Source organism: Homo sapiens, chromosome 4, assembly GCF_000001405.40.
Source record: "Homo sapiens chromosome 4, GRCh38.p14 Primary Assembly".
NCBI classification, from domain to species: Eukaryota; Metazoa; Chordata; class Mammalia; order Primates; family Hominidae; genus Homo; species Homo sapiens.
This window is the reverse complement of record NC_000004.12, coordinates 37867693-37894885: the sequence shown is the minus strand read 5'-3', so window position 1 is coordinate 37894885 and position 27193 is coordinate 37867693. Positions and strand designations below refer to the sequence as shown.

General features: G+C 42.7%; 1 protein-coding gene and 1 pseudogene across 17 annotated transcripts in view, besides 7 other annotated features; both read right to left on the bottom strand.

Moving 5' to 3' along the window:
• The window catches only part of TBC1D1 (TBC1 domain family member 1), a 248090-nt gene extending 244288 nt beyond the window's left edge, over positions 1 to 3802 (bottom strand). For all 17 annotated transcript variants that reach the window (XM_011513659.3, XM_011513660.4, XM_011513662.4 and 14 more), the window contains exon 1: positions 3538 to 3802. The gene's annotated coding sequence lies outside the window, so the exon portion shown is untranslated. The remainder of the gene's footprint in view (positions 1 to 3537) is intronic.
• Positions 1655 to 1934: an enhancer, noted in NCBI's record as "active region_21418". NCBI's record gives its function as "activates an Ori minimal core promoter by ATAC-STARR-seq in GM12878 lymphoblastoid cells {active_cell/tissue: GM12878}" and the evidence as "EXISTENCE:reporter gene assay evidence [ECO:0000049][PMID:35858748]".
• Positions 2195 to 2244: a silencer, noted in NCBI's record as "silent region_15353". NCBI's record gives its function as "represses an Ori minimal core promoter by ATAC-STARR-seq in GM12878 lymphoblastoid cells {active_cell/tissue: GM12878}" and the evidence as "EXISTENCE:reporter gene assay evidence [ECO:0000049][PMID:35858748]".
• Positions 2365 to 2494: an enhancer, noted in NCBI's record as "active region_21417". NCBI's record gives its function as "activates an Ori minimal core promoter by ATAC-STARR-seq in GM12878 lymphoblastoid cells {active_cell/tissue: GM12878}" and the evidence as "EXISTENCE:reporter gene assay evidence [ECO:0000049][PMID:35858748]".
• Positions 3274 to 3773: a silencer, noted in NCBI's record as "silent region_15352". NCBI's record gives its function as "represses an Ori minimal core promoter by ATAC-STARR-seq in GM12878 lymphoblastoid cells {active_cell/tissue: GM12878}" and the evidence as "EXISTENCE:reporter gene assay evidence [ECO:0000049][PMID:35858748]".
• Positions 4094 to 4283: a silencer, noted in NCBI's record as "silent region_15351". NCBI's record gives its function as "represses an Ori minimal core promoter by ATAC-STARR-seq in GM12878 lymphoblastoid cells {active_cell/tissue: GM12878}" and the evidence as "EXISTENCE:reporter gene assay evidence [ECO:0000049][PMID:35858748]".
• Positions 13098 to 13598: an enhancer, noted in NCBI's record as "H3K4me1 hESC enhancer chr4:37882909-37883409 (GRCh37/hg19 assembly coordinates)". NCBI's record gives its function as "activates a minimal SCP1, AML or CMV promoter by ChIP-STARR-seq in naive H9 embryonic stem cells {active_cell/tissue: H9 hESC(naive)}" and the evidence as "EXISTENCE:reporter gene assay evidence [ECO:0000049][PMID:30033119]".
• Positions 21124 to 21418: a silencer, noted in NCBI's record as "tiled region #10943; K562 Repressive non-DNase unmatched - State 23:Low". NCBI's record gives its function as "represses a minimal TATA promoter and a strong SV40 promoter by Sharpr-MPRA in K562 cells {active_cell/tissue: K562}" and the evidence as "EXISTENCE:reporter gene assay evidence [ECO:0000049][PMID:27701403]".
• On the bottom strand, positions 25815 to 26592 carry HNRNPRP3 (heterogeneous nuclear ribonucleoprotein R pseudogene 3; annotated as a pseudogene).

Here is a 27193-nt window from a genome sequence, read left to right as displayed (position 1 = left end):
AACTTCTGTTGTTTCTCACAGATGATATCCAAAGATCCCATAGATCTTTAGATGGGAATAACCCTCAAATATCTTTCTAGTGGATTAGCTGGGTTGGTCTATCTAAATTTTGCTTGGCCTCAGCAATCCAAACCTAACATCAAAATTATACTCTAAAAGTATAAAATAAATAAACATAATAATAGCAATAAATAATATTGAGTGCTCACTGTGTACCAGGCACTGTTCTAAGCACTTTGCATGTATAAATTCACTAATTCTGGCAACAAACCTATAGGGCTTACCTAATTCAGAGGTTTAGATTTGCTGATTATATAAAATGTGCTGATAAATACACGCATTGTCTTTTGAAGAGAAAAATAGCTGTTGCTCATCTCAAAGGAGACAGGCACACTCAAAATTAAATGCCTCTTTGTTGGTTCTAAAATGTATTTCCTACATTCTGCACAGCTTCATAAAAACCTACATATCAAGAGTTTTTCAGTTGGCCCAAATATGACACATCTTTTTCTAAACATCTGAAATCTGAAAAGGGACACATTGCCCCTGCATCTAAGACCTCATCAAATGGAACTTTTGGCTTAGAAATGTCAAAAACTGGTCGGGCGCCGTGGCTCACACCTGTAATCCCAGCACTTTGGGAGGCCAAGGCGGGTGGATCACAAGGTCGGGAGTTCAAGACCAGCCTGGCCAAGATGGTGAAACCTCGCCTCTACTAAAAACACAAAATTTAGCCGGCCGTGGTAGAGCACGCCTGTAGTCCCAGCTACTTGGGAGGCTGAGGCAGGAGAATCACTTGAACCCAGGAGGCGGAGGTTGCAGTGAGCTGAGATCACGCCACTGCACTCCAGCCTGGGTGACACAGCAAGACTCCTTTCAAAAAAAAAAAAAAAAGTCAAAAACCTTGAAGCATGAAAACCTTCATGTCTTTCGTGAAGAATCTGGTCTAAAGATATTTTTTATTGGAATGTGGTGTTGGAAAGGAAGAAAAGTCAGTGAAGGAAATTGTAAGGTAACAGTTCTGACTGAAAACCTAAATCCTTCGTCATCACTACAGGGATACAAACCCCAACACTACTCTGCTGCTGAATGGACTCAGTGGCACGATCATGTTTCACTGCAACCTCCGCCTCCTGGCTTCAAGCGATTCTCCTGTCTCAGCCTCCCAAATAGCTGGGACTACAGGCACATGCCACCATGCCTGGCTAGTTTTTGTAGATCTATATTTTTGTAGAGACAGGGTTTTGCCATGCTGGCCAGGCTGGTCTCGAACTCCTGACCTCAAGTGATCCACCCGCCTTGGACTCCCAAAGTGCTGGGATTACAGGCATGAGCCACCATGCCTGGCCATGGACTCAGTCATTTTAATGAGCAGATTTTACTTCTCAAGTTTAATGACCAAGAGATGAAAACTGCTGAGAAATATATAAAATATTGAAACTAACGTGGTCATTAAACTTGAGAAGGGCAGCACGGTAGACTGGAAAAGGGCAAAACAAATGATCCTGAGGCACCCACACATATACAGGAAGTCCCCAAATGGGCCGTGATACATTTTCAGTCCTCTGGGAATCTGAAAAGAGCAAAAACTGGGGACCTACAGAGAAATGCTGTGGAGAGAGTAGGAAGGACTTCAGGGAGCTGCCATTCTGTCAGATCAAATTAAAAGCATGTTCAAAGACAGAATCCTCTTGAGCCCCTTGCTCTCCTCCCTACCATCTACTCTAGAAAGCTGGTGGCCAACAGAGCAGGCAGCTGTGGTGCCTGCTCCAGGCACCAAGACAACTGAAGATGCTGCTGTGAACACAGAAGAGGTAACAGCCATGCTGCTTGATTCAGGCTCCCCACTGCTTGCCAGGGTTACATCCTAGAAGATCCTAGAAGATCTGGACCACAAAAAAGCCACCCGCCCACATCTGGCTCTGCATAGGGGTACATCTCATTGTCATTGCAGCCTTCCTGGTCAAAGCTGTCTTCTAGGGAAGTGGGGGACAGGGATTATCACCAGCTGGATAATGAGGAAGAAGGGGCAAGCTCTGTTGCTTCAGAGTTGCACGTTTCCTCCTAATACCCACTAGTGTTTTGACAAACTGTGCCTTATGGGACACCAGGTCAACACTGCATGACTGCCACCCAACCAGAAATGCTGTCGTGGTGAAAAGGGGAAGCCCCAGCACTCTCAGTGGGGTAGATAACAATAGACTATGACAAGGAGACGCATTTGCAAAATTTTCCTTTGAAAACGTAATGTAATAATTTATAACTACACTAGTGATTTTTTTTCCTATTCTCCTGGTTTGCAAATGGCTGGACAAATCCACAGGAAAGAAATTATTTTAATTATCACCTGATGATTTTATTTCCTGCTTTGAACCACTTAGTCCCTTCCAGGTCTCCTTGCACTCAATAGTGTTAGAATGCTCTACTTGTGTTCACTTCAGAAAATGTCCCCTAAACTCTTTTTTTTTAAGAGATGGGATCTCACTTTGTCACCCAGGCTCCAGTGAGGTGGCACAGTCATAGCTCACTATGGCCTCGAACTCCTGGGCTCAAGTGATCCTCCTGCCTCAGCCTCCCAAGTAGCTGGGACTACAGGTGGGTGCCACCACCCCTAGCTCATTGAAAAAGTTTAGAAGTTTGAACTTGTACAGATAGCTGAGTTTCTTGGGTGTGACCTATTTAAACCAGGTCATTTTTAAATGCTCTTTCAAAGTCTGATTTTATTAATAAATGAAATCATCCCATCATAAGGGAAACAATGAGAAATCTATGAAGGGAAAACATATCCATTAATATGAGGCACCCTGAAAATTAAACTGTTTGGTGGAAGGAACAACCATCACTTTCAATTTCTTTTTAAAGCAACTTCCAGAGAATAAGCTATGTTAAGTAAAATCAAAACAGGAAAAGCCACATCTAGGTGGATTTCAAACGAAATGATACCTCTCTGAAAAAAAAGCAAAAACAAAACCTTAATGCCTGGTGAAGTTTGAGGGGGGTCTCATAATCACAGAGCCATCAGGAAGCGGCTAGAAACAATGAAGCAGGGTTTCAAAATGACTGGTACAGGATGTACCCATAGAAAGAAATGTTGCGCGCACTGGTGGAGCTGCCAAAGTTACTACTGCAAAGTACCCTGAACTTTTAAAGCGTGGCTTGGGGTCACTCTGACCACACTCTTTCCAATCTGGTCGCCTTGCAAACACGCTAGGATAATTGGCGGGAGGGGGGAGGGGAGAGATGCGCGGACCAGTGAGCTGGCGGGGGTTGGGGGAGAAGCCGGCGGAGCTCTCGGGTCGCTAGCAACATTAAGGTTTCGCTTTCGTCCAAGGGCGGCGGGGGTGGGGGGGTAAGGGGGGCAACGAGATGGCAATGAACTTCCTCCCCCGAGAGACCCTGGCCTCGCGTCCGTGGGCGGCCAGATGCCTTCCCCTCCGCGGCCAGGCGGGGCAGGGGCGTGCTGCGGGAGGGGGCGGCCGCGACGCCCCGAGAGGAGCCAGCAGGGTGGCCAGGACGAAGCCCCAGGAAGCGCCTTACCTGTGCCGCGGCGCGCTCAGAGCCCGGGGCCGGGCCGGGACGCGCAGGTGCTTGGGGGCATCCTGGGGACGGCCTGGGCGGGCGGGGAGTCCATCGCACCCGGCTGGCTGCGCTCTTCCCGCCGCGGGGGGACGGGGAGGGGGCTCCCCTCGGCTCGGCGCCCGCCTCTTCTCCACCCAGCTGAGGACACAGCAGGTCCCGCGGCGGCGGCAGCAACAGGCACCGGCGGACGGTGGCGGCACCAGGAGCAGCAGCCGAAGAGGAGGAGGAGGAGGAGGAGGAAGAAGAGGAGGAGAAGGAGGAGGTGTCTGCGCGCGGCTCTGGTTTCCTCCTCCCAGCCTGGGCGAGCGCGCTGGAGGCGAGGGGAAGACAGGAGCCGGGATCTCCCCACTCGGTCCCCGGGGAGCTGGGAGGGGGACTCGGTGTCCTCCTCCTCCCCACTGCGCCGTGTGACTGTGCCTGGGCAGCACGGCCCGGACGGGCGAGTCACACGCGAGCAACAGCTGCTGCACTGCGGGTCCGCCGCGGCCTCCCTCCCCTCCTTGCCACCCCCCGCCCCCAAGCCCGCGGGCCATCCTCAGCCAGTGTCTGTGGGGGGAATAGGGGGGAAGTACTCGGGCCGCCGCCCCATCCAGACCCCTGCGCAGGATCTGGGCACAGCGTTTCCCTGGGGAGCCGGGGGCGCGGGGCCCCGCGCGTGATGCAGGCCCTCGTGGCGGGATGTACAGTCGCACACCCTGTCCTTGGCGGCCTATTTATAGCAGGTGGCACTGCCCGCCGCTTGCTCGGCCTGAGTGGCTCTCAGCAGGTGGCACTGCCTGCCCGCTCTCCGCGCTCCCGAAGGCGCCTCGCCTCATCTGCACCCTCCTCTTCTCCCTCCGAAACAGACGTGGTGGAAACTGCACACAACATGGGGGGCGGGGGCCGGGGGCGACCAAGCCACCTTGCTCTCCCCCGCCTTACCCCTTCTCCCCGTCCTTGGAGGATGGCAAGAGGTGAACTGAGGCACGGATGCCCTATGGGGCGCTGGCATGCGAGGCAGGAAAATCAGGGACTCTGGGAAACAACGAAGGCGAAGTGCCCTCCCGGGATTAAACACCAGGAAACTCCATTTCTAACCAATTGCGGGAGTGACGCAGAGCCTGGATTAGGCGCTTTTTCCTGCCCCGCGAGCCCGGCACACGCGCAGGAACACACACCACACGCACACGCACACCCCAGTGTGCATGCCCCGATCAGGTCTGGGGACATTCCCAGCGGTGATGTAGAGTGCAAGGAAAGACGCGGAGATGTGAAAAGCGGGACAGAGCTCGCTCCCTAAGACTAGGGGATGGCAGTGTGCAAAAAACAGGCGAAGCTCCCAGATCCCTATCCCACCAGGCACAGAGGCGCAACGTCACTCGCAGGGTGGGGAGAGGGATCTGAGAAAAGTAAGAAGCATCACATCCTCTCCAGAGAAGAGTCCGCAGGGAGGGGAGAGCCGGGTGCTCGGAGGAGGCAGTTCCAGACCCCCAGGTGGCATCTTTCTGGATTTTTTTACTTAATGTAGCTGGGGGTGGACTTTAGGGAAGTGGCTGAGCGTTTGAGCTGTACGGTTGGACTTGAATCCAAATCCCAGCAGGTGTGGTTTAGGCAAGGTGCTGGACCTCTGGTCTTCATTGTCTTACCTGCTAAATGGGACCAATACACACCTTACAGGATCTTTGTGAGGACAAAGCAGGAAAGTGTAAGTAAAGTGGCCAGTGCAGTGACACAGACGTACATGGTCCTCAACTAAAAGCAGCAGCTATTATCAATATTACTGTGGCCCAGGAGGCAAATAGAGGGCCAGGTTTCCTCATCGTACCAAGAGCAGTGTCTTCCTTGAAGCCCACTGAGCTTCTTGTAGGCTTTTAGATTAGGGCTGTCTTATGGCATTCCCTGATTTCCCTGGATGCTTACATCCAGGGGAGGTATTTTTAAGTGGACCCAAGAGTTTTATTCACAGCTTGACTTAAAACTCTCACAATAGTGGTAGCTATTCTTTACGGAGGAGTTAGTCGATTTGGGGTATTGTGCTAGATACTGTCCTTATATATTGTTGCTAATTTGCTCAAAAACTCTGCAGGGCAAAGATTGTTAAATCCATTTGACTAAGGAGAAAAGTAAGAGGTTAGTGCCTACAGGGTTAGTGGGTGCTGGAATCTCCAAGATCCAAAGCCCTTTATAATATACTTGCTCTCTGGCCACTGTGTAGCCCTCAGCTCATTCTTTGTCATTGAGTAGTTATTTGTGTGCATAGCCTCAACTCTTTTTTAAGAAATATACAGTCATAAATACTGTAATGAGTAGAATGTTAACTGGGTTATGGAAATTATTCTTTAGGTTACAAGACCAGGTAAACCAGTTAAACCATATTGTTATCACTTGGGTCATATCCCAAATTATTTCATGTTTTTACCTTCAACTCTGTTGTAGAACTCTCTCTCCCTGTCTGCAGTGACCTGCTGCACACATTTACCTCCAGAGTGCTAGGAGGTCGAGAAAGGTACACTAGCATTCATTTCATTGACACTGTAAACTGCTTTTTGTATGTAACCCACCAGAGGATGGTTGAAACTGTTACCTAACAACCCTGCTTGCCAGGCCCTGCTCCTGGGAAAAGGGGTCAGGCCAAGGGGAACAGAGATAATTTGCTGGGCTCTGCTTACAGAACATCCTGGCTAGAGCCCCCTCCCATCCTGCCACTCCACTACCTTTTCTTTCCCTCACTTGCTCACCTCCTCTACCCTCTCTTCACCCTTACCCCTAGTCCCAGAGTACAGGAAGGCTTAAGTACAGGTAGGCAGCCAGGCGGGGTGCCTAACCAGAATACAGATGTAGGAAGTCGATGGGTGGGGCCCAGATGCAGGCCCAGGCCTCATATCTCTCAAAGCATTGACATCCAGCAAGTTCCAGCTCAGAGATTTATAATTTAGTGGCAAATGACCATTTGCCTTGACCCTTACCTAGGTTAGGGAGAGGTCATGGCCTTGTGAGAAGCAGCAATTTCTGCATCACTTTTCCAGCTCCCAGGACAGCTAGCACCCTAAGAATGATGAGGAGGGATTTTACCATACTTTCAACTTCTGGGAAACAGAACTCCCTCTATAGTATGCAATAAGGATTGTTGAAATTCTTTTTAAAATCTATACAGCATTATCTTAGAAATTAGGGGACAGCTTGCTATCAATCTATTTGGCCTTAGGTTTTCTAGCAGTTGTAGAACAAATAGTAAAGGGGACTTTGAAGCAGATGGTGATACCTGGTATGGCAGGATGAAGACTGTCAAATGTGGTTGGGGAGATCCATACTGGCCCAGTGCAGAGTGCAGAAGTAAGAGCTCACCACTCAGCTCTTACCTGCAGGTGCCATTGCTCTAGGAGGGAAGTAGCTCCTTCCCCTTGATATGTGGCCACGTGACTCCCAGGAGAGCTGGTACACACCATGGTAGAAGCGTGGGCCAATGGGGCCTTGGTGATGGCAACAGAGAGCTCCCTCAAGGCCCAGGAAGGTGTTCTGTTGGTCCCTCTTTAAGTCACCGATAACAAAAGCAAGCAGAGAATAGGGCCAAATGCTCCAATGATTCTGCTTCAGCTTCTGATTCTTCTGACGGAGTATGACCCAGGAACACAAGGAGTGTGGAGCTCTTCACCACCATGGGCATTTAGCTGACATCAGCTATGGACCCATTGGCTCAGCGAGTGAAAACCCTGATGCGAAGGCACCGACCATCATGGCTGCTGCACTTTTCCTGTCTGGACAACTTCCGCACCTCCAGCTCTTCCCAAAATCCTGCCATGGATCATTCTTTTAGGGCTTCTCCCATAGACTCTTTCCTAATTTAGCTATTTGCAGCATAATTAGTTATTCATTGCCAAAAGCCAGGAACATTAATATCAGCTTTAAGATGGCTGCAGAGCTCTAGAAAATTGTGAACCATCGATGCTATTAAATCACATGAAAAGCTCAGAGCCTGAAAGAAAACAGAGGCCACTTTACTTTTAAAAAGTTAAGGGAACCATGGGAACCATATATACATCTAGAATTAAAATCTTTCGTTGATGTAGAAAGAAGACCTTTAACAAAATTAATCATCATTAAATCCATCAGTTAGGTATTTAAATGCTCATATTAGTTAGGAATCCAAACTATTGCTATTATATATTTTTACTTAAATTCAAAATGTGCATAATAAGGTAGTGGGTCCATTTCCAAAAAATGGCATCAATAAAGGCAAAAAATAAGACTATACTGGCTAGAACCCTAGGATAGTAAGGTGGTTCACTGGGTATGCTTGTTCCCATTGATTGATAGTGACTTTCTGGAGCCCTGAGTGGACGAGGCTTGTAAGGCAAGTCCATGCTCAGTGGGAAAGGGTGCAAGATTGAGAAGCAGCACCTGCCTCAAGCATGGGAGGAGGCAGCATTGCAACACCAGCGCCAGGTAATTTGCCAACCCTGTCAATCCAAGGCATAACAGTTAGATCTAAAGAGTTTGTGAAGGCTGGGGTGGTGGCTTATCCTATAATCCCAGCACTTTGGGAGGTTGAGGTGGGCTGATCACTTGAGCCCAGGAGTTGGAGATGAGCCTAGGCAACATGACAAAACCTCTATAAAAAAATACAAAAAAAAAAAACTTAGCTGGGCGTGGTGTTGCACACCTGTAGTTCAAGCTACCCAGGAGGCTGAGGTGGGAGGATGGTTTGAGCCCTGGAGGTTGAGGCTGCAGCAAGCTGTGATGACACCACCACACTCCAATCTGGGTGTTGGAGTGAGAAACTGTCTCTAAATAATAATAATAATAACATAGAGTCTGTTAAGTTATGCCCAAATATCTTGTTTTCTTTCTTTTCTTTCTTTCTTTTTCTCTTTCTCTTTCTCTTTCTTTGTCTTCCTCTTTCTTTTTCCTTCCTTCCTTCCTAGCTTTCTTCCTAATTCTTTCTTTCTTTCCTTTGGTTTTGTTTTCTGAGACAGGGTCTGGCTCTGTTGCCCACGCTGGGGTGCCGTGGTGCCTTCGTGGCTCACTGCAGCCTCGACCTCTTGGGCTCAAGCTATCCTCTGCTCAGTGTTCTGAGTAGCTGGGACTACAGGCGCACACCACCACACCCAGCTAATTTTTAAGTGTTTTGTAGACACAGGATTTCGCTGTGTTGCCTAGACTGGTCTCAAACTCCTAAACTCAAGCAATCCACCCACATCGGCCTCCCAGAGCGCTGGGATTACAGACGTGAGCCACTGCGCCCAGTTCCCAAATATCTTAATTAACTATAAGAAATATTCTTCATGACAAGAAAATGAAAATCAAAGTCAGAGACTATATTACATCCAATTGTCTGCAATACTAGATCCCTGAAATTGCTTTCCGAAAGGCATAAGATTAATAAAATATGATGCAAAAAATTAAAATGAGCAGATAGCCAACATAGATTTTAGAATTTCAGCAATTGAAATAAACAAAAATTTTACTGCACGAAGAACTCACGCTTACAATGCAAGAGACAACGGTAAATCAATGCAGTGAGAGAATGGGTGGACTGTATACTTAAGCCCCAGAGTAGGCTTCTGTGAAGTATCTAATCTCCTTTTATGGACAAAGCAGATAAAACTCTGGGCACTGGTTCCACTTCCTTTTCCAGCAACCTCTCCTATTTGTCATTGCTCTACACAAGCAACTGCTCCACGCAGCTCTCTGACGATGTCCAGCCTTTACTTGGGGTTCTCACTTTCCACCCGAGCTGGTTCCGTGGGTCTGGGCACCAAGTACAAAGTTTGGCAAATGTTAGATGGCACGTCATTTTTAAATTATGATATCTAAATTTGTCTAAGGTCAATGAGAATTTTTTTGTAAATTGTCAGAGCTAGTTATGGATGTCGATGATTTTACTCAGACTGGGTAAGCTGACTAAGCTCTCTACCCTGCAGCAACCCCACTTCATTTTACCCCAAATGCCATTGGTGGTACCTAATGTGTAATCTCACCTAGAATGCAGGAGCTGCTAACTGGTTTCCCTGATTCGGCCCTCACCACCCTGCAGTCTATTCTTAACATAGCAGCCACTTGAATCTGCTAAAATATCATTTGGGCCATGTCACTGCTTGGCTTGGAATCCTCCCATGGCTTTCCAGATTCCCTGGAGTAAAAGTCAAAGTCCTTATAATGGTTTAGAGGGTCCTACAGGATCTTCTTTCTCAACTGCCACACCACTACCTCTGTCCTTTATCACCTGCTACCAGCCTTGACTCACTCTGCTCCAGCCACACTGGCCTTGCAGTTATGCAGAGCTGCCAGGCACACTCCTGCCCCAGGGCCTTTGCATTTACTCTTCCCTTTGCTAAGTGTACTCTTCCCTCAGATATTCACATTGGCCCCTCACTTACTTCACTTTGTTTAAATGTCACCTTCTCCATGAGGCCTTGCTGACCAAGTTTTTGAAAATGGAAACCACAGCTACGCCTACACACACACACACACACACACACACACACACACACACACCTTATCCCTTTTCCTGCTTTATATTTCTCCATAGCATTTACCTTCTAATGTACTATATTGGTTACTTGTATATCTTATTTGTCATTTGTTTCCCCCTCCGCCTTCCATGGGAGCAGAGAATTTTGTCTGTTTTATTTGCTGCTGTATCTTCAACTCACAGCATGGAGCCCAACACATAGTAGGCATCCAATGAATATGTGCTGAGTGAATGAATGAATGAAAAAAATAATTTGTAATATATAACATTTTTGAGTTCAATACATGTCTTTATATAGAAAGAGAGGAAAACCTAGAAATTCTAATCTAATAGAAGTACTATCTATTAGATTAGAATTTCTAGGTTTTCCTCTTGCTTAGAAATTCTAATCTAATAGAAATACTATTAGATTAGAAGTACTATCTATAGAAGTACTATCTATTAGATTAGAATAGAATCTAATAGAAGTACTATTAGATTAGAATAGAATCTAATAGAAGCGCTATCTATTAGATTAGAATTTCTATGTTTTCCTCTTGCCTAGAAATTCCAATCTAATAGAAATACTATCTATTAGATTAGAAGTACTATCTATAGAAGTACTATCTATTAGATTAGAATAGAATCTAATAGAAGTACTATCTATTAGATTAGAATAGAATCTAATAGAAGTACTATCTATTAGATTAGAATAGAATCTAATAGAAGTACTATCTATTAGATTAGAATAGAATCTAATAGAAGTACTATCTATTAGATTAGAATAGAATCTAATAGAAGTACTATCTATTAGATTAGAATAGAATCTAATAGAAGTACTATCTATTAGATTAGAATAGAATCTAATAGAAGTACTATCTATTAGATTAGAATAGAATCTAATAGAAGTACTATCTATTAGATTAGAATAGAATCTAATAGAAGTACTATCTATTAGATTAGAATAGAATCTAATAGAAGTACTATCTATTAGATTAGAATAGAATCTAATAGAAGTACTATCTATTAGATTAGAATTTCTATGTTTTCCTCTTGCCTAGAAATTCCAATCTAATAGAAATACTATCTATTAGATTAGAAGTACTATCTATAGAAGTACTATCCATTAGATTAGAATTTCTAGGTTTTCCTCTTGTTGACAGCTCATTAGATTTCTCAACTGTCCTAAGAGGTATGTCAATAGTTCCCCCCAAGGTGAGCTAAATGTTGAAGCATGTGACTCCTTCTTTAACCATCAACATAGACTCTAATTTCAGATATACTATAGAAGGACTTTAGAATCAGGAACAACTGAGAACTCATCAGCAGTCAAAGTTTGTTAGAAGTTTGGTTGAGAAAAATATGACCTTGGAGACCAGCATGAAAGATAATGCAGTTCAACTGGTCCTCTAAAATCTGGATCCCCTAAAATCAGTTCCTTATCAGATCAACCCAAGTGAAGATCCATTTGCCTGGAGTGTATCCAGAAAATTTTTTTTTACTGAGTTTCACTTTGATATTATTCCATTGGTCCATAGTGGGGGAATGCATTTTATAAAAATACTCTATTCAGTCTGAAGATATTATTGAGGGTGTTTATTAATACCTTACACAGTGTCCTTTTAAAGAGAATCCAAGAAAAAGTTTCTCCTAGGACTCCACTAAGAAAAACTTTTCTTTCCTTGAGCAACTGATTTTATCTCCATCCTTGCACTGACCGTTTGGGGTTCACTGCTTGGCAGGCATCCAGGACATTTTGTGTGCTAAGTCAGTGATTCACAAATGCCCTTTCCAAGCCATTGCCAGTTTGTGCCACTTTTCATCTATCCAAGACAAACTATAAATAACAATGTGTAACTTCATAAAAGCAAACTGAACTTCTCTGTCTTCTGAGATCATGTTCTTCCTACCTTATAGGTACTAACAAATAAGTATTTCTTTTATGAAATTACGGTGAGAACCATATGGTGAGATCCATTGCTTTGTGCTTGTTTTATAATGTCTTTACTTGGCAAAAGAACATTATAGCGCCCCCTTGTCAATTCCTAGTGTTTGGAGAAATGTTACTGGTTCAGAAAATCCAAAGTCTAGGAGCAGTGGTTTCTACCTAATTCCTAGCATCATTCTATCTCACCTACTACCCTCTCCTTTCGTCCTGTTTTCTTAATTCACTTTGAATCATTTTTTGTTTACAAAAAAAGTGAATACATTTAAGCCATCTTCAATCATTCCTGGGATGTGGTAGAAATATGAGTGAGTGAGTGAATGAATGAATGAATAAACAGACTTGTACAGGCAGAGAACATACCAACTCGCCTGCAGCTCCACACTACATCAAATGTTCTCACTCATTACCACCTTGTATGCTACCTGTATAGTGTGTACAGTGTGTTGTAATTTACAGATCTCATATTATTTAACCCTCTCAGCAGCCCTCAGAGGTAAACGTTATTTCTCTCCCTCATTATAGAGAGTTGGAGTTGTCCTAAGGCAGAAAACCTGTGGGGGAGAAATTGGGGTTTTAACCTGGATATTCTGTCAGCAAGCCTAATTCTTTTTGTCTATACCATATTACTGCCTTTCAAACTAATGTTTTTGAGGGTGATCATGTTTGGAGGTGTTTTGATTTGTGTGGGGGAAATGAGAGTCTGGTTATTTCCTTGGCTTTCAGAATAACATTCCTTATTGCGAGGTGTTCCTGGTTGGGCTGCGCTTCAGCTGGGGCTCTCTGACCCTTTAACTTCTCGGGAGCATCCACAGAACCAAGGTTTCCTTGATCAGCACACATTGAAGAAACGTGCTCCGGGGCAGTCTCTTTTTGCTCACTTTTCTATTGCATAATAATTCATATTGTGCCACAGCATTATAGTGGGAGGTTGCTTCATTACTTTGTAATTTCTTTTAACATTAAAGCTGAGCTAGAGACATTCAGCCTTCTCATTTTCTTGTTGGTAAATATGAAATGTAGGATGAAGTTCTCCTTTACTCAAAAGAGTGTGGGTCCTTGGATAGGAAGCTTAGAGAAATCATTAAGGGGGAGGTAGAATTTACCAAGATTTCCAAAGTGGCAGGTAGTTACCGCAAAGGGGTTAGTAGTCTTTCAACCAGTAGAGATGCATAGATGAGCTATTCTTTCCATGGCTCTGAACTAGGCACTGAAGTGATGCAAAGAAATATGAGACAGCTTCCTTGTCTTCAGCATCCTTACTCTCTTCTAATTCAGGGTTGACAAACTACTAAAAGCCCATTTAGTAAATATTTTAGGCATTGCAGGACATTCCATCTCTGTCCCACCTTTCAAATCTGTAGCAGTGGCCGGGAACAGTGGCTCACACCTGTAATCCCAGCACTTTGGGAGGCCACGGTGGGCGGATCACGAGGTCAGGAGTTTGAGACCAGCCTGGCCAATATGGCGAAACCCCGTGTCTACTAAAAATACAAAAATTAGCCGGGCATGGTGGCGCATGCCTGTAGTCCCAGCTACTCAAGAGGCTGAGGCAGAAGAATTGCTTGAATCCGGGAGGCAGAGGTTGCAGTGAGCCGAGATTGCGCCACTGCACTCCAGCCTGGGCGACAGGGTGAGACTCCGTCTCAAGAAAAAAAAAAAAAAAAAAAGTCTGTTGCAGTGCAAAAGCAGCCACAAACGCTATGCAGACAAATGAGTATGGCTGTGTTCTAGTGAGTATGGACGCTGAAATTTGGATTTCATGCATTTTCACATTGTCACGAAATATTCTTTAAAAAAATTTTTCCAACCATTTAAAAATGTAAAATCCATTCTTAGCTCATGGGTCATACAAAAACAAGTAGCCGGATTTGGCGAGCAGGACATAATTTGCTAACCCTGCTCTAGGGCAAAGGTTTTTAACTATTTTTATAGTATAGATCCCTTTGCCTGTGTAATGAAGCCTATGGAACCTTCCTCAGAATAATATTTGTAAATGCCTAAAATAAAATAAATAAAATACATTAATAATGAAGTTCATATGTTATGATATCATGCTTTTAAAAATATATGTTGATATCTGTATTTCCATGTAATTGGCTACAAATTATATGGAAGGCTGGGTACAGACATTCAGCCTTCTTCTCATTCTTTTGTTGCTAAATATAAAATGTAGGATGACATTCTCCTTTAAGAGAAGTTCTCCTTTAAGTAACCAATTATATAGCCAATTATATAAAATTCTCCTTTAAGTAACCAATTATATGGAAATACAGACATCAACATATACTTTTAAAAGCATAATATTGTAATATATGGACATCATTATTAATGTATTAAATAACAAGATTTGCCCACAGGTATAATAACTACCATGATTTTGAGAGTGATAAAAATATATGATATTCTGAGATACTTGTTACAACTGAAATGTGACATGAAAATCAATGATTTCTATTGATGACAATGTCATGGGGAGTGATAATACTATTATGGTTTGTCACCTAAATTTTTAAAGGCAGAGAAATGTAAATTGTGATTAGAACTGCTAGAAGTAACTTAAAAAATGTATTTTTATTTTCCACCCAAGTTCACTGACCCCTTGGAGTGTATGCACAGAACCATCAGAGAACCTTTGATCTTAGGTTAAGCACCCATGAGAAATCAGTGACAAGACTCCATAAATCTGTGCATAATCCCTCCTTAATGTTCTGGAATCACAAGAGGCTAAAGCCTCTTTAAATTTGAACATTTCTTGAAAGGAAGAACTCATACCTGTCTCACTGACCAGCATCGGATGGTCTCAGACCACTTCCTGGCTATGTGAACTTGAACAAGTTATTTTCACTGAACTCTGGTGTGTCTATGTGTCTGTGTCCCCCCGCTTTTTTTTTTTTTTTTTTGAGACGGAGTCTGGCTCTGTCGCCCAGGCTGGAGTGCAGTGGCGTGACCTCGGCTCACTGCAAGCTCCGCCTCCCGGGTTCACACCATTCTCCTGCCTCAGCCTCCAGAGTAGCTGGGACCACAGGCGCCCGCCACCACGCCCGGCTAATTTTTTGTATTTTTAGTAGAGATGGGCTTTCACCGTATTAGCCAGGGTGGTCTGGATCTCCTGACCTTGTGATCCGCCCGCCTCGGCCTCCCAAAGTGCTGGGATGAGGCGTGAGTCACCGCGCCCGGCCTATGTGTCCCCTCTTTAAGATGACGGGAATAAAAATAATAGTACTTATCTTATGTTGTTGATAGGGTTAATGAGTTAGTAAATGTAAAACACTTGGAACAGAACCTGGCATGCAGTATAGCACATCATGCTCATTGTCATTATTCAGTGATGTAATTCTCTCTTGTTCTTCCTTCTCTGGATGCTATCAGCTCTTTCATGTAGCCTTCTCTTCTCTTCCTCTTTCTGTAGTGGGGAACAGGAAGCTAACCCAAGAGGATGTTTTCTTTCAGGTAAAAATTCAAATAACTTCAATCTTGGCTGGGCGCGGTGGCTCACGCCTATAATCCCAGCACTTTGGGAGGCCGAGAAGGGTGGATCACCTGAGGTCAGGAGTTCCAGACCAGTCTGACCAACATGGTGAAACCCTGTCTGTACTAAAAATACAAAAATTAGCTGGGTGTGGTGGTGCATGCCTGTAATCCCAGCTACTCAGGAGGTTGAGGCAGGAGAATTGCTTGAACCTGGGCGGCGGAGGTTGCAGTGAGCCAAGATCGAGCATTGCCAAGATCGAGCATTGCACTCCAGCCTGGGCAACAAGAGCAAAACTCCATCTCACAACAAAACAAAACACCCTTCAATCTTTGGAAAATTAAGACTTCAGGAATTCAGCGGTTGTGCTGCTGCAGAAACACTACAATGATTGCTTTAAGGAAAAGTTTGGAACATTCTTCCTCCTTTAAATGGTCAACATTTTGCCAGGGAGGGCAGGGAAAGCTTATCCAAACTGAGTAACATTTTTAAAGTTAAAATTTAACAATGTAAGAAGTCTTTCAAACCCTGTTTCCCCTCCCACGATGAGATGTTGTAGGGAGCTAATAGGTACACAGGCAAGCACAGTCAGGGTTGGGCAGTTCTAGCAGGTGTGGAGAAGACTCACAAGTCAAATGGATATAATGCAGGATAAAATATAACAATTTTTTTTTCTTTTTTCGAGATGGAGTCTTGCTCTGTCGCCCAGGCTGGAGTGCAGTGGCGTGATCTCAGCTCACTTCAACCTTCGCCTCCCGGGTTCAAGCAATTCTCCTGTCTCAGCCTCCTGTGCAGCTGGGATTACAGGTGCCCGCCACCAAGCTCGGCTAATTTTTGTATTCTTAGTAGAGACGGGGTTTCACCATGTTGGCCAGGCTGGTCTCAAACTCTTGACCTCTAGTGATCCACCCACCTCGGGCTCCCAAATTGCTAGGATTACAGGCGTTGAGCCACCGTGCCCAGCCAACAAAATGTTTAAGAGGCACAGTTATACCCCCAAAGAAAGAGAGAGATGTTTCCTAGGTGCTTAAACTAGTGTGAACTAGCCAGGCGCAGTGGCTCACACCTGCAATCCCAGCACTCTGGGAAGCTGGGACGGGTAGATCTCTTGAGCCCAGGAGTTTAAGACCTGCCTGGCCAACATGGTGAAACCCTGTCTCTACAAAAAATTCAAAACATTAGCCAAGCATGGTGGTGCATGCCTGTAGTCCCAGCTACTTGGGAGGCTGAGGTGAGAGGATGGCTTGAGCCCGGGAGGTCAAGGCTGCAGTGAGCCATGATAGCGCCACTGCACTCCAGCCTGAGTGACAGAGTGAGACCCTGTCTGAAAAAAAAACTTTTTAAAATAGTGTGAACTAAGAGGAAGAGCAAAAAGCAGCAGCTGAAGTGCCCACGGCCTTGGAGAATGTATGAGACTAAGTGTGGCCTCTAGGACTAGGGGTTTAACATTCACACCTGACTGGAAACTGGCCCCAGGGCTGCTAAAAGGCAGGGAGTTCAAACTAACTCAGTTATTGTTATTTTTCAATTGAAAATTACTATTGGATTCTCTCTCTTTTTTTTTTTTTTTTTTTTGAGACGGAGTCTCACTCTGTCGCCCAGGCTGGAGTGCAGTGGTGCAATCTTGGCTCACTGCAAGCTCCGCCTCCCAGGTTCACACCATTCTCCTGCCTCAGCCTCCCGAGTAGCTGGGACTACAGGCGCCTGCCACCACCCCCGGCTAATTTTTTGTATTTTAAGTAGAGACAGGGTTTCACCGTGTTAGCCAGGATGGTCTTGATCTCCTGACCTAGTGATCCGCCTGCCTCAGCCTCCCAAAGTGCTGGGATTACAGGCGTGAGCCACTGCACCCGGCCTGGATTCTCTTTCAAGTGGCCTGTTGTTATTCATGGTGTCCTGTTCTTTCCCTTAGAGTGCCAGAAACCTGAGAGGACTGCCTACTTTATGAAAAAGGGATCTCGGATTCCCTGATACAGGATCAGAGAAGCTTGTACTTTGCTTGAGACTCTGGGTAGGGATTGAGTGGGCCAAGCTGGGGAGAGTTCATGATCAGAAATAAAAACTCCAAGCCTGTGTCACACAGAGGCAAAACATGTGATTTATGCTTACAAATTAGTGCCAGAATCCTAAGCTAATAAAAGCTACGTAAAAACACACCAGTAACTGTGTTAGTTAGAAAAGTTATAAATATCTTCTCCCAGATTGTCAATTGTCTTTTAAATGTTTATATGGTCTTGCTGTACAGAAGTTTTAAATTCTAATGTGGCTCTGTCTTTTGCTTTATGGCTTGGGCTTTTTGTGTCTTAAAAAATCTTTCTCTACCTTAATATCCTAAAGACAATCTCCTACAATTTATTCTAAAACATTTAAAGTTTGTTGCTCATATTTAGATCTTGAATTTAAATGGAATTTATTTATTTATTTTAGAGACAAGCTCTCTCTCTGTCACGAGGCTGGCGTGCAGTGGTATGATCATAGCTCACTGCAGCCTCAGCCTCCTGTGCTCAAGCGATCCTCCTGCCTCAGCTTCCTGAGTAGCTGGGATTACAGGCACATGCCACCACACCCAAATAATTTTTTTGTTTAACTTTTTGGCAGAGACAAGGTCTCACTATTTTGCGCAGGCTGGTCTCAAACTCCTGGGCTCAAGCAATCCTCCCACATCGGCCTAAAGTGCAGAGATTACAGGCATGACCTACCATGCCCGGCCTTGGGATTTTATTTTTGATGTCGTTTTGGATATGGCTTGAGGCAGGGATCTAATTCTAGCTTTTCCACTTGGATAGCTAATTGCCCCAGATTTTTGTATTCAATAGTACTTTTTCCTATAGACCTATGATGCCGTGTTTCTCTTATACCATTTTCCTTTCATATATATGCCTATTCGTTATTCTTTTCTATTGGTTTACTTGTCCATTTATTTGCCAGTTTTACTATGTCTTTATAATAAATCTTACTATTTGGTAGTATAATTTCGCTCTTCTTATTGTAAGAATTTTGAAGAGTCTGAGAATTTATTCCATTTGCAAGCTAACAATTTAGCCTGTCATGGATATAATAAAAAGATATGGGACTGGTGAGTCAGAGGCAAATGATTTTATTGCTCAGAGTACAGCAGTTAGTATAAGCTTCATGTTCACCTCATTTACCCTTGCACCCAAGTCCTATGTGTGACATGGAAGGGCTAAGAGGATGCTATATGCATCACAGTGAAGAACTCAAGTTTAGGAAACCCCACACTTGCTAGCAAATCTGCCGATCCTTTATCCAAGAGGAAGACATTTCTTCATTATCCTGGACAACAAACAAATCTGCCATTGCCCTGGAGGAGAGACACTACTTCTACCTTCCCAAGCTGTTTTCTGTAAAAACATCATTGAAAAATAGTACAGAAACACACACACACACACAAATCTGTCAATGCCTCTGCTGAGAAGATGTGCAGAAATACAAGAGACCAATGGAGAACTGCCTTCTAACATTTATTCTTTTTCTGTATTATTTTGCCTGTTTTGGCCCTTTACTCTTCTTTAGGAATATATAGATCAATTTTTATAGTTGTTTGAAGTAGCACTATGTTGCTAAATATAAATTTATAATTTAAATTCACATATGTAAGTTATTTAAGTGTGTTCTTTACAACCACATGTAAATAGTATCTTATAATTAATAATTGTTATTGTAGGTGTATAAAGCAATTTTAACAGTTTTAAAAAGACCACAAAACAAAACAAAAAGTTTTAAAAAAGCAAACAAAACAATAACAGTGACAAGAGAAACAAACTAGAAAAACGCCTGGGACCTTGCAGAAGCAAACACAAAATTGCTTTGTAATATCATTCCTGCAATGTAGGGCACGAAAAGCTCTCACAAGTTAAACAAACAAATAAAAAAACTTGCCAAAGATTAAAAACAAGAACGCTCACAAACACTAGAAAATAACTGACTCTGAGGGGCAGTCAATACGCACACCAAACTGCAGAAATAACATTTCAAGAACTTTAGGTTATAGAACAAATTGAAAGAATAAAAGAAGTATTTAGAAATTATTCAAAAACTGAAAGCAAAAACAGGAACCCTAAGAATGGATTTCGGCACTAATAGAAAAGAAAAGGAAGATCTGAAAACAGAGTGAATAGAACTTTTAGGAGTTCGTAAAAAGTCACTGAAATTCAAAACTCCCAAGAAAAGTTAGCAGATTAGAAGGAGCTACAGAGGCTGGGTGCTGTGGCTCATGCCTGTAATCCCAGTACTTTGGGAGGTGGAGGCGGGAGGATCACTTGAGGTCAGGAGATTGAGACCATCTTGGCCAACATGGTGAAACCCTGTTTCTACTAAAATACAAAAAATTAGCTGGGCATGGTGGCGCACGCCTATAGTCCCAGCTACTTGGGTGGTGAGGCAGAGGAATCGCTTGAAACCAGGAGGCGGAGGTTGCAGTGAGCCGAGATTGCGCCACTGCACTCCAGCCAGGCAACAGAGCGAGATTCCATCTCAAAAAAAAAAAAAAAAAAGAGAGAGAGTAGTAAACTAGAAGACTGCTCCGATGGAGTTGCCAAGAAAGTAGCACAGAGACAAAGAAGTGGAAAATCATAAATATGTGCCTAATAAAACTGCAAAACACCGAAGACTAAAGTCTTAAAGGCAATCACAGTGATCAAAACATACAGCCTCACTTATGTGAAGTTCAAGATCAGGCAAAACTGATCTATCTGTTAGCTGTCAGAATAGTGGTTATTTCTGGTGATTAAGGGGAGGGTTCCAACTGGGAAGAGGCATAGGGTATCCTTTGAGATATTGAGATTGTTTTATGTCTTCCTGGTTACATGCTCTATAAGTATGTAAAAAGTCACTGAGCTGTACATGCAAGATTTTGTGCACTTTATTATATGTATATTATAGATCAATAAAGATACTTTTTAAAAAAGTAATCAGAACAAAAGAAAGACTACCTATAAAGGTATAACAGCTGGATTAGCAACCCACTTTGGTCAGAAACAAGAAAGTCCAGAATGTTATCCAATAGTAACTTCAAAATGCCATGGAAAATAAACATCAACTTAGGTCCTTTACCTAACAGAACTGTTATTAGGTGACTAAAGACATTTTCAGACCAAGATTAAAACAACGTCAACAGATTGGTGAATCTACATAAGCATTAACCTTCAAAAATTGTAATTATAGGCCAGGTGCAGTGGCTCATGCCTGTAGTCCCAGCACTTTGGGAGGCCAAGGCGGAAGGGTCCCTTGAGCCCAGGAATTTGAGACCAGCCTGAGCAACAAAATACAAAAATAAGCCAGACCTAATGGCGTGTGCACATAGTCCCAGCTACTTGGGAGGCTGAGGTGAGAGGATTGCTTGAGTTTCAGAGGTAGAGGCTGCAGTGAGCTGTGATCATGCCACTGCACTCCAGCCTGTGTGACAGAAGGAAACCCTGTCTCAAAATTTTTTTAATAATTTTAAAGGGTTTTTGGATTATCCTGCATGCAACATGTGCGTGTGCACACACATACACACCCACACACACTCAACAGAGAGAGAGAGAGCTGTGAAATGATGCATGGCAAGATTATTCACGGCAGCACTGTTTGAAACAGCATAAATTAGAACCAACCTCAATATTCATCAACAAGGGAACAGATTAAATAGATTATATTACACCCATATACTGGAATACCATTTAGCCATTAAAAACAACAAAATATATTTTTGAGTATGATATACAATAAATGTATTTCTATATGAGTTAGATTTTCTGCATTAACAACTGCAAAATCCCAGTGGGTTATAACAATGAATTTCTCATACACTCCATCTACACAGGAGGAGAAAGTGAGTCATTGCAAACATCAAACATGATTTCACAATTGCTAGGTTAAACAACTAGAGTGAAGAACAGTGTGTACAGTGTCCTACCACTTGGATAAAAGAAATCAAGCCAAAATAATTCATCATATAATTGTTTTACATATAAGATCTCTGGAAGAATACACATGAAACTGGCAAAGATGTCTGCCTTAGTGCATGGGAACTAGGTGGCTGCACTAGGGATACGCTGGACTTATTTCACTGTTTACCCTTTGCACTTTTTGAACTTTATGCCACTTGAATGTATTATCTAAGAAAAAATTAAATTTCCTGTATTTTTTGGGTGGAGGCTAGAGATAACAACTTTAGACTTGATCCAGCAAGTACAGATGTTAAGATTTTAAGAGTAATCACAGAAAGAATTGGAATTGAGTATACCACTAAAATGGCACAGGAAACAGGGGTAAAAATACTCTCTTGGGCATGTAAAATATATATATATTTAAAAGTCATTTGTGTTTTTCTTAAACTATCTTTGAATCTCATTAGACTCTTTTTCTATTAGGTTATTACTCTTTTTTTTTGGCATTGATATCTAGGGTCTCCTTTTACATTAGGGAGATAAGCCCTTTGTTTGTGACACAGTTGCAAATATTTTTTCCTAGTTTGTTGCAGAGGATTTTATTGAATGTAGGCGAATTTTTCAGTCTTTAAAAAAATAACTTGAGTCATAGTTAGAAAGCCTTTCCCTCTTTAAGATTATAAAAGAATTATCTAATATTGTCTTTCAATACTTCCTGTATGAGTCTCATTTTTTCTCCAGCAAACTTTTATGTAGGCAGGAACAATAATGAGTACAACTGCATGTCTTTTATGTGGCCTAATATCTCCTGTGTGTTTTCACCAGTAGAGAATCCATTTCTACTGATGATCTTAAATTTTTCCCTAATCACTGATTAGTGTCCTCTATAATCTAAGGCAACTGAAACAAAAATGGTTTTCACAATGATTTTGAAAAAATAATTTGATTTTATTCCCATTATAGAGGAAGAAATTAAAGTTTAGAGATGTTAGAAAACTTGTTCAGTATTACATAGAAAGTAGTGGTATTGGAATTGAAACTGAAACTCAGGCTGAAATCTTAACTCCTACAGGTTGTGATGGGCACAACCTAGAAATGATATTTCTTTGCAGCTTTATTGAGGTATAACTGACAAATTGTATAAATGTAAGATATATAATGTGATGAGTTTTATACAAATACATTGTGAAATGATTACCACAATCAAGTCAGTTAACACACACTGATCACTGTATCTAGTTACCATTTTGTGTGATAACATTTGAGAGCTACTCTGTTAGCAAATTTCAAGTATACAATACAGTATTGTTAACCATAGTTGCCATGTGCTACATTAGACCCCCAGAACTTGTTCATCTTATAAGTGAAAGTGTGTACCCTTTGAACAACATCTTCCCAATCCCTTCATGGCCCAGCTTCTGGTAACCACCGTTCTACGCTCTGCTTCTATGAGTTTGACTTTTTTTAGATTCCACATTTGAGATCACGCAGTATTTGACTTTCTGTGTCTGGCTTATTTCACTTAGGATAATGTCCTCCAGGTTCATCCATGTTGTCACAAATGGCAGGATTTCCTTCTTTTTTTGTTGTTCTTTTTTTTTGAGACGGAGTCTCGCTCTGTTGCCCAGGCTGGAGTGCAGTGGCGTGATCTCGGCTCACTGCAAGCTCCGCCTCCCGGGTTCACGCCATTCTCCTGCCTCAGCCTCCTGAGTAGCTGGGACTACAGGCACCTGCCACCACGCCCGGCTAATTTTTTATATTTTTAGTAGAGATGGGGTTTCACCGTGTTAGCCAGGATGGTCTCGATCTCCTGACCTCGTGATCCACCAGCCTTGGCCTCCCAAAGTGCTGGGATTACAGGCGTGAGCCACCGCGCCCGGCCGATTTCCTACTTTTTTTAAGGCTGAATAGTATATCACAGTATCTCTATCCATCATTCATCAGCGCTTAGGTTCTGCCTTGTCTTGGCTGCTGTGAATAATGCTACAGTGAACACGGAGTGCAGATATCTCTTTAAGATAGTAATTTCATTTTCTTCGAATATATACCCAGAAATGGAATTCCTGGATCATATGGTAATTCGATTTTTAATTTTTTGAGGAGCCTTCATACTGTTTTCCATAATGGCTGTGCCAATTTACATTCCCACCAACAGTGTACAAGGGTTCCCTTTTCTCCACACTCTCACCAACACTTGTTACCTCTTCTTGTCTTTTTGATAATAACCATCCTAACAGGTGTGAAATAATACCTCATTGTGGTTTTGAGTTTTGCTGATGGTTAGTGACACTGAGCACCTTGTCATATAGCTGTTGGTCATTTGTATGTATCTGGAGAAATGTCTATGCAATTATTTGACCATAAAAAAGAATGAAATTATGTTATTTGCAGCAACATGAATGGAACTGGAGGTCATGTTAAATGAAATAAGCCAGGCACAGAAAGACAAATATCACATGTATCTCACTCATATATGGTAGCTTAAAAAGTTGATCTCCGAGGTGAGGAGATTGATACCATCCTGGCTAACATGGTGAAACCCCGTCTCTACTAAAAATACAAAAAATTAACTGGGCATGGTGGCGGGCGCCTGTAATCCCAGCTACTCAGGAGGCTGAGGCAGGAGAATGGCGTGAACCCGGGAGGCGGAGCTTGCAGTGAGCCGAGATCGCGCCACTGCACTCCAGCCTGGGTGACAGAGCGAGACTCCGTCTCAAAAAAAAAAAAAAGTTGATCTCATAGAGGTAGAGAGTAGAATGAGAGACACCAGAAGCTGGAAAGCGTGGGGGCAGTGGAGGACCAAAAGAGGTTGGTTAACTTCACAAACATACAGTTAGATAGAGAGAATAAGTTCCAGTGTTTGATAGCAAAGTAGGGTGACTATAGTTAAAAACAATGTATTGTATATTTCAAAATAGTTAGAAAAGAAGAAATGTTCCCAACACATAGAAATGATCAATACTCTAGGTAACAGATACCCTAAATACCCTGACTTGATCATTACACATTGTATGCATGTTATAAAATATCACATATACCCCATAAATATGTACAAATATTATGTATCAATGAAAAATTTTAAAATTCCATTCATGAATTTTGCCTGTTTTAAAGTCTGACTCTTTTTCACTATTGAGTTATATGAGTTCCTTATATATTTTGGATTTTAACCCCTTATCAGATAAATGGTTTGCAAATATTAGAAACGATACTGATTATTCTTTTCTTTCACTTATTACTGTCAATATCAGGAAACGAGGCAGCAAAAAATATATCAGTTTTCTAAAACAGAGCTGCACACACTAAATGGGGAAATTATGAAACATAGTTTAGAAATCTAATTTGCTCGTTTGTCCAATGATATACTTAGCAATTTATAAATTGTTCTCACATGGATTATCTCATGCCATCCTACAACAAAAAGATATTTCAGTTGTTAAAATAGCATTTGTCCTCTAGGAAAATGGGAGGAAAGTGACATATATACAATGTTATTCATAGCAACATTGTATTAGCAAAAGATTGAAAACAAATGTCTATCTTTTAACTAAGGGACTGAAAAGTGTTTGCAGAACAGTGTGTACAGTATGCTCCGGCTTGTGAGCAAATGCATAATACTTCAACTTCTTCATCCTTTCAAGTTTTCTAAATTCAAGAAATGGTATATTCAATATTTTTTTTTATCACTGTGATAGTCAAGATTCTCCCAAATAAAAGGATAGTTGGCCACAAGTTCTGGGTCTCTTTAGTCTACAGGATTAATCCATTCAACTTGAAGTACACTTCACTAATATTTTACGTTTCCACTCATTATCTAGGCTCTGGCTTGTGCAGCTAACTGGAAATTCTCAAAGAAGCAGAAGCCTCAAATATTTCTGCTATTGATGAGAGAGATGAAATTATGACAGAGGCTGGGCACGGTGGCTCATGCCTGTAATCCCAGCACTTTGGAGGCTGAGAAGGGTGGGTCACCTGAGGTTAGGAGTTTGAGACCAGCCTGACCAAATCCCGTCTCTACTAAAAATACAAAAATTAGCCGGGTGTGGTGGTACATGCCTGTAATCCCAGCTAAGGCAGGAGAATTGCTTGAACCCAGGAGGCGGAGGTTGTGGTGAGCTGGAATCGAGCCATTGCACTCCAGCCTAAGTAACAAGAGGGAGATTTTGTCTCAAAAAAAAAAAGAGGGCCAGGTGCCGGTGCCTCACACCTGTAATCCCAGCACTTTGGGAGGCCAACGCGGGTGGATCACAAAGTCAAGAGATCGAGACCATCCTGGCCAACATGGTGAAACCCCATCACTGCTGAAAATACAAAAATTAGCTGGACATGGTGGCGGGCACCTGTAGTCCCAGCTACTCCGGAGGCTGAGGCAGGAGAATTGCTTGAACCTGGGAGGTGGAGGTAAGCTGAGATCGCGCCACTGCACTCCAGTCTGGTGACAGAGCAAGACCCCATCTCAAAAAAAAAAAGAAAAAAGAAGTTGATGATAGAACATAGATGATAGAGAATAACACGGACCAAACTGTGTAACATCACAGATGTCTTTTGGAATCTTTTTCTTTGTCTTACATTGTGGAATCGCTCCAGCCTGTTGCTTGCCACAGAAATGCAGACTCCAGGGCAAACTCCATGGCCATCACACAGTGCAGTGTCCTTTCACAGAAGATCCTAAATGCATACTTTCTGTTTGGACTAGTCATACAATATAGATCTCAAGCAAGTCCATCCTCAAAAGCAGCACAAACTCACCCTCAGTTAAATCTCCTGGTGTCTTATCAACAAAAGTAATGGTTCCCGTTCCAGGCAGCACACCAGAGTTACACACCATCTGAAGGAATATTGCCCTGTTTCCTCTGACCTGTGGTTGCATCCAACACACAGCTGATCCACTCAACCAAAGCCTTCATCAGATCTCTTTGTGGATTCTCACAACTTGCTCACATTTCTTCCTTTGTTTGCTGATCTCACCTGACACAGAAATGTATTTTGTCCTAGAACAAATAATCAGCGAAAAGAAATCTCTAAGAGCCTAAGGTGTGACAAATCACTTTCTTTGAACCATTGAAGCCCCACAGAGCTATATGAGAGCATTCAGTACTCGTTCATCAAGCTTGACGTAAATTACCAAGCCTGCCTCAAATAGCTCATCAGCCCTTTCTGCCTGCTTCTGAGGGAGACCTGCCTCCATCAGTCTGACAGTATTCTGTGTGAGTGACACAGGACACATCGATTCATGTTTCCTTTTTAACTGATTCCCATTGCCATTGACCTGATTGCCCTTTCATTATGTAGGGCAAAGCAGAAGAGGGCACATTGGCCATTGATAACTGATCCTTGGCACTTTGAAAACAACTAGATGGTAGGAGTGCCACCCTCCTCTGCTCCCATCAAGTATTTTTGCCAAAAAAAAAAAAACCAAAAATCAAACCTGAATCAGATCATGCTTCTTGATTTAGTTGTACTAGTTCACAGGAAATCCAGGGCACAATAGAAACATGTTAAACACATCATGAGGAGACAACCAGAAAATCCAAAATGCAGGAAACTCCGAAGGACAAATGATTTGGTAGTTTGGAATAAATTACAAGAAAAATTAAAGAGATGAAGAATGTTTAGACTGAAAGAGATTTCAGAGGCTGTCCATCAAATGCAATGAGTGGATGTTATTTGAATCCTGATTCAAGCGAAGTGTAAACAAAACGTATGAGACAAATGGGGAAATTTGTACACTGACTGAATAACTGATGATATTAAGGAATGGTCAACGTTTTTAGGAGTGACAATGGTAGTACGGTTGTGTTGATGCAGGATTTTTGCTTCTTCACTCAGCTACATCTGGGTTCTTGTCTCACCATCAGGAAGAATTAGGCACGCAG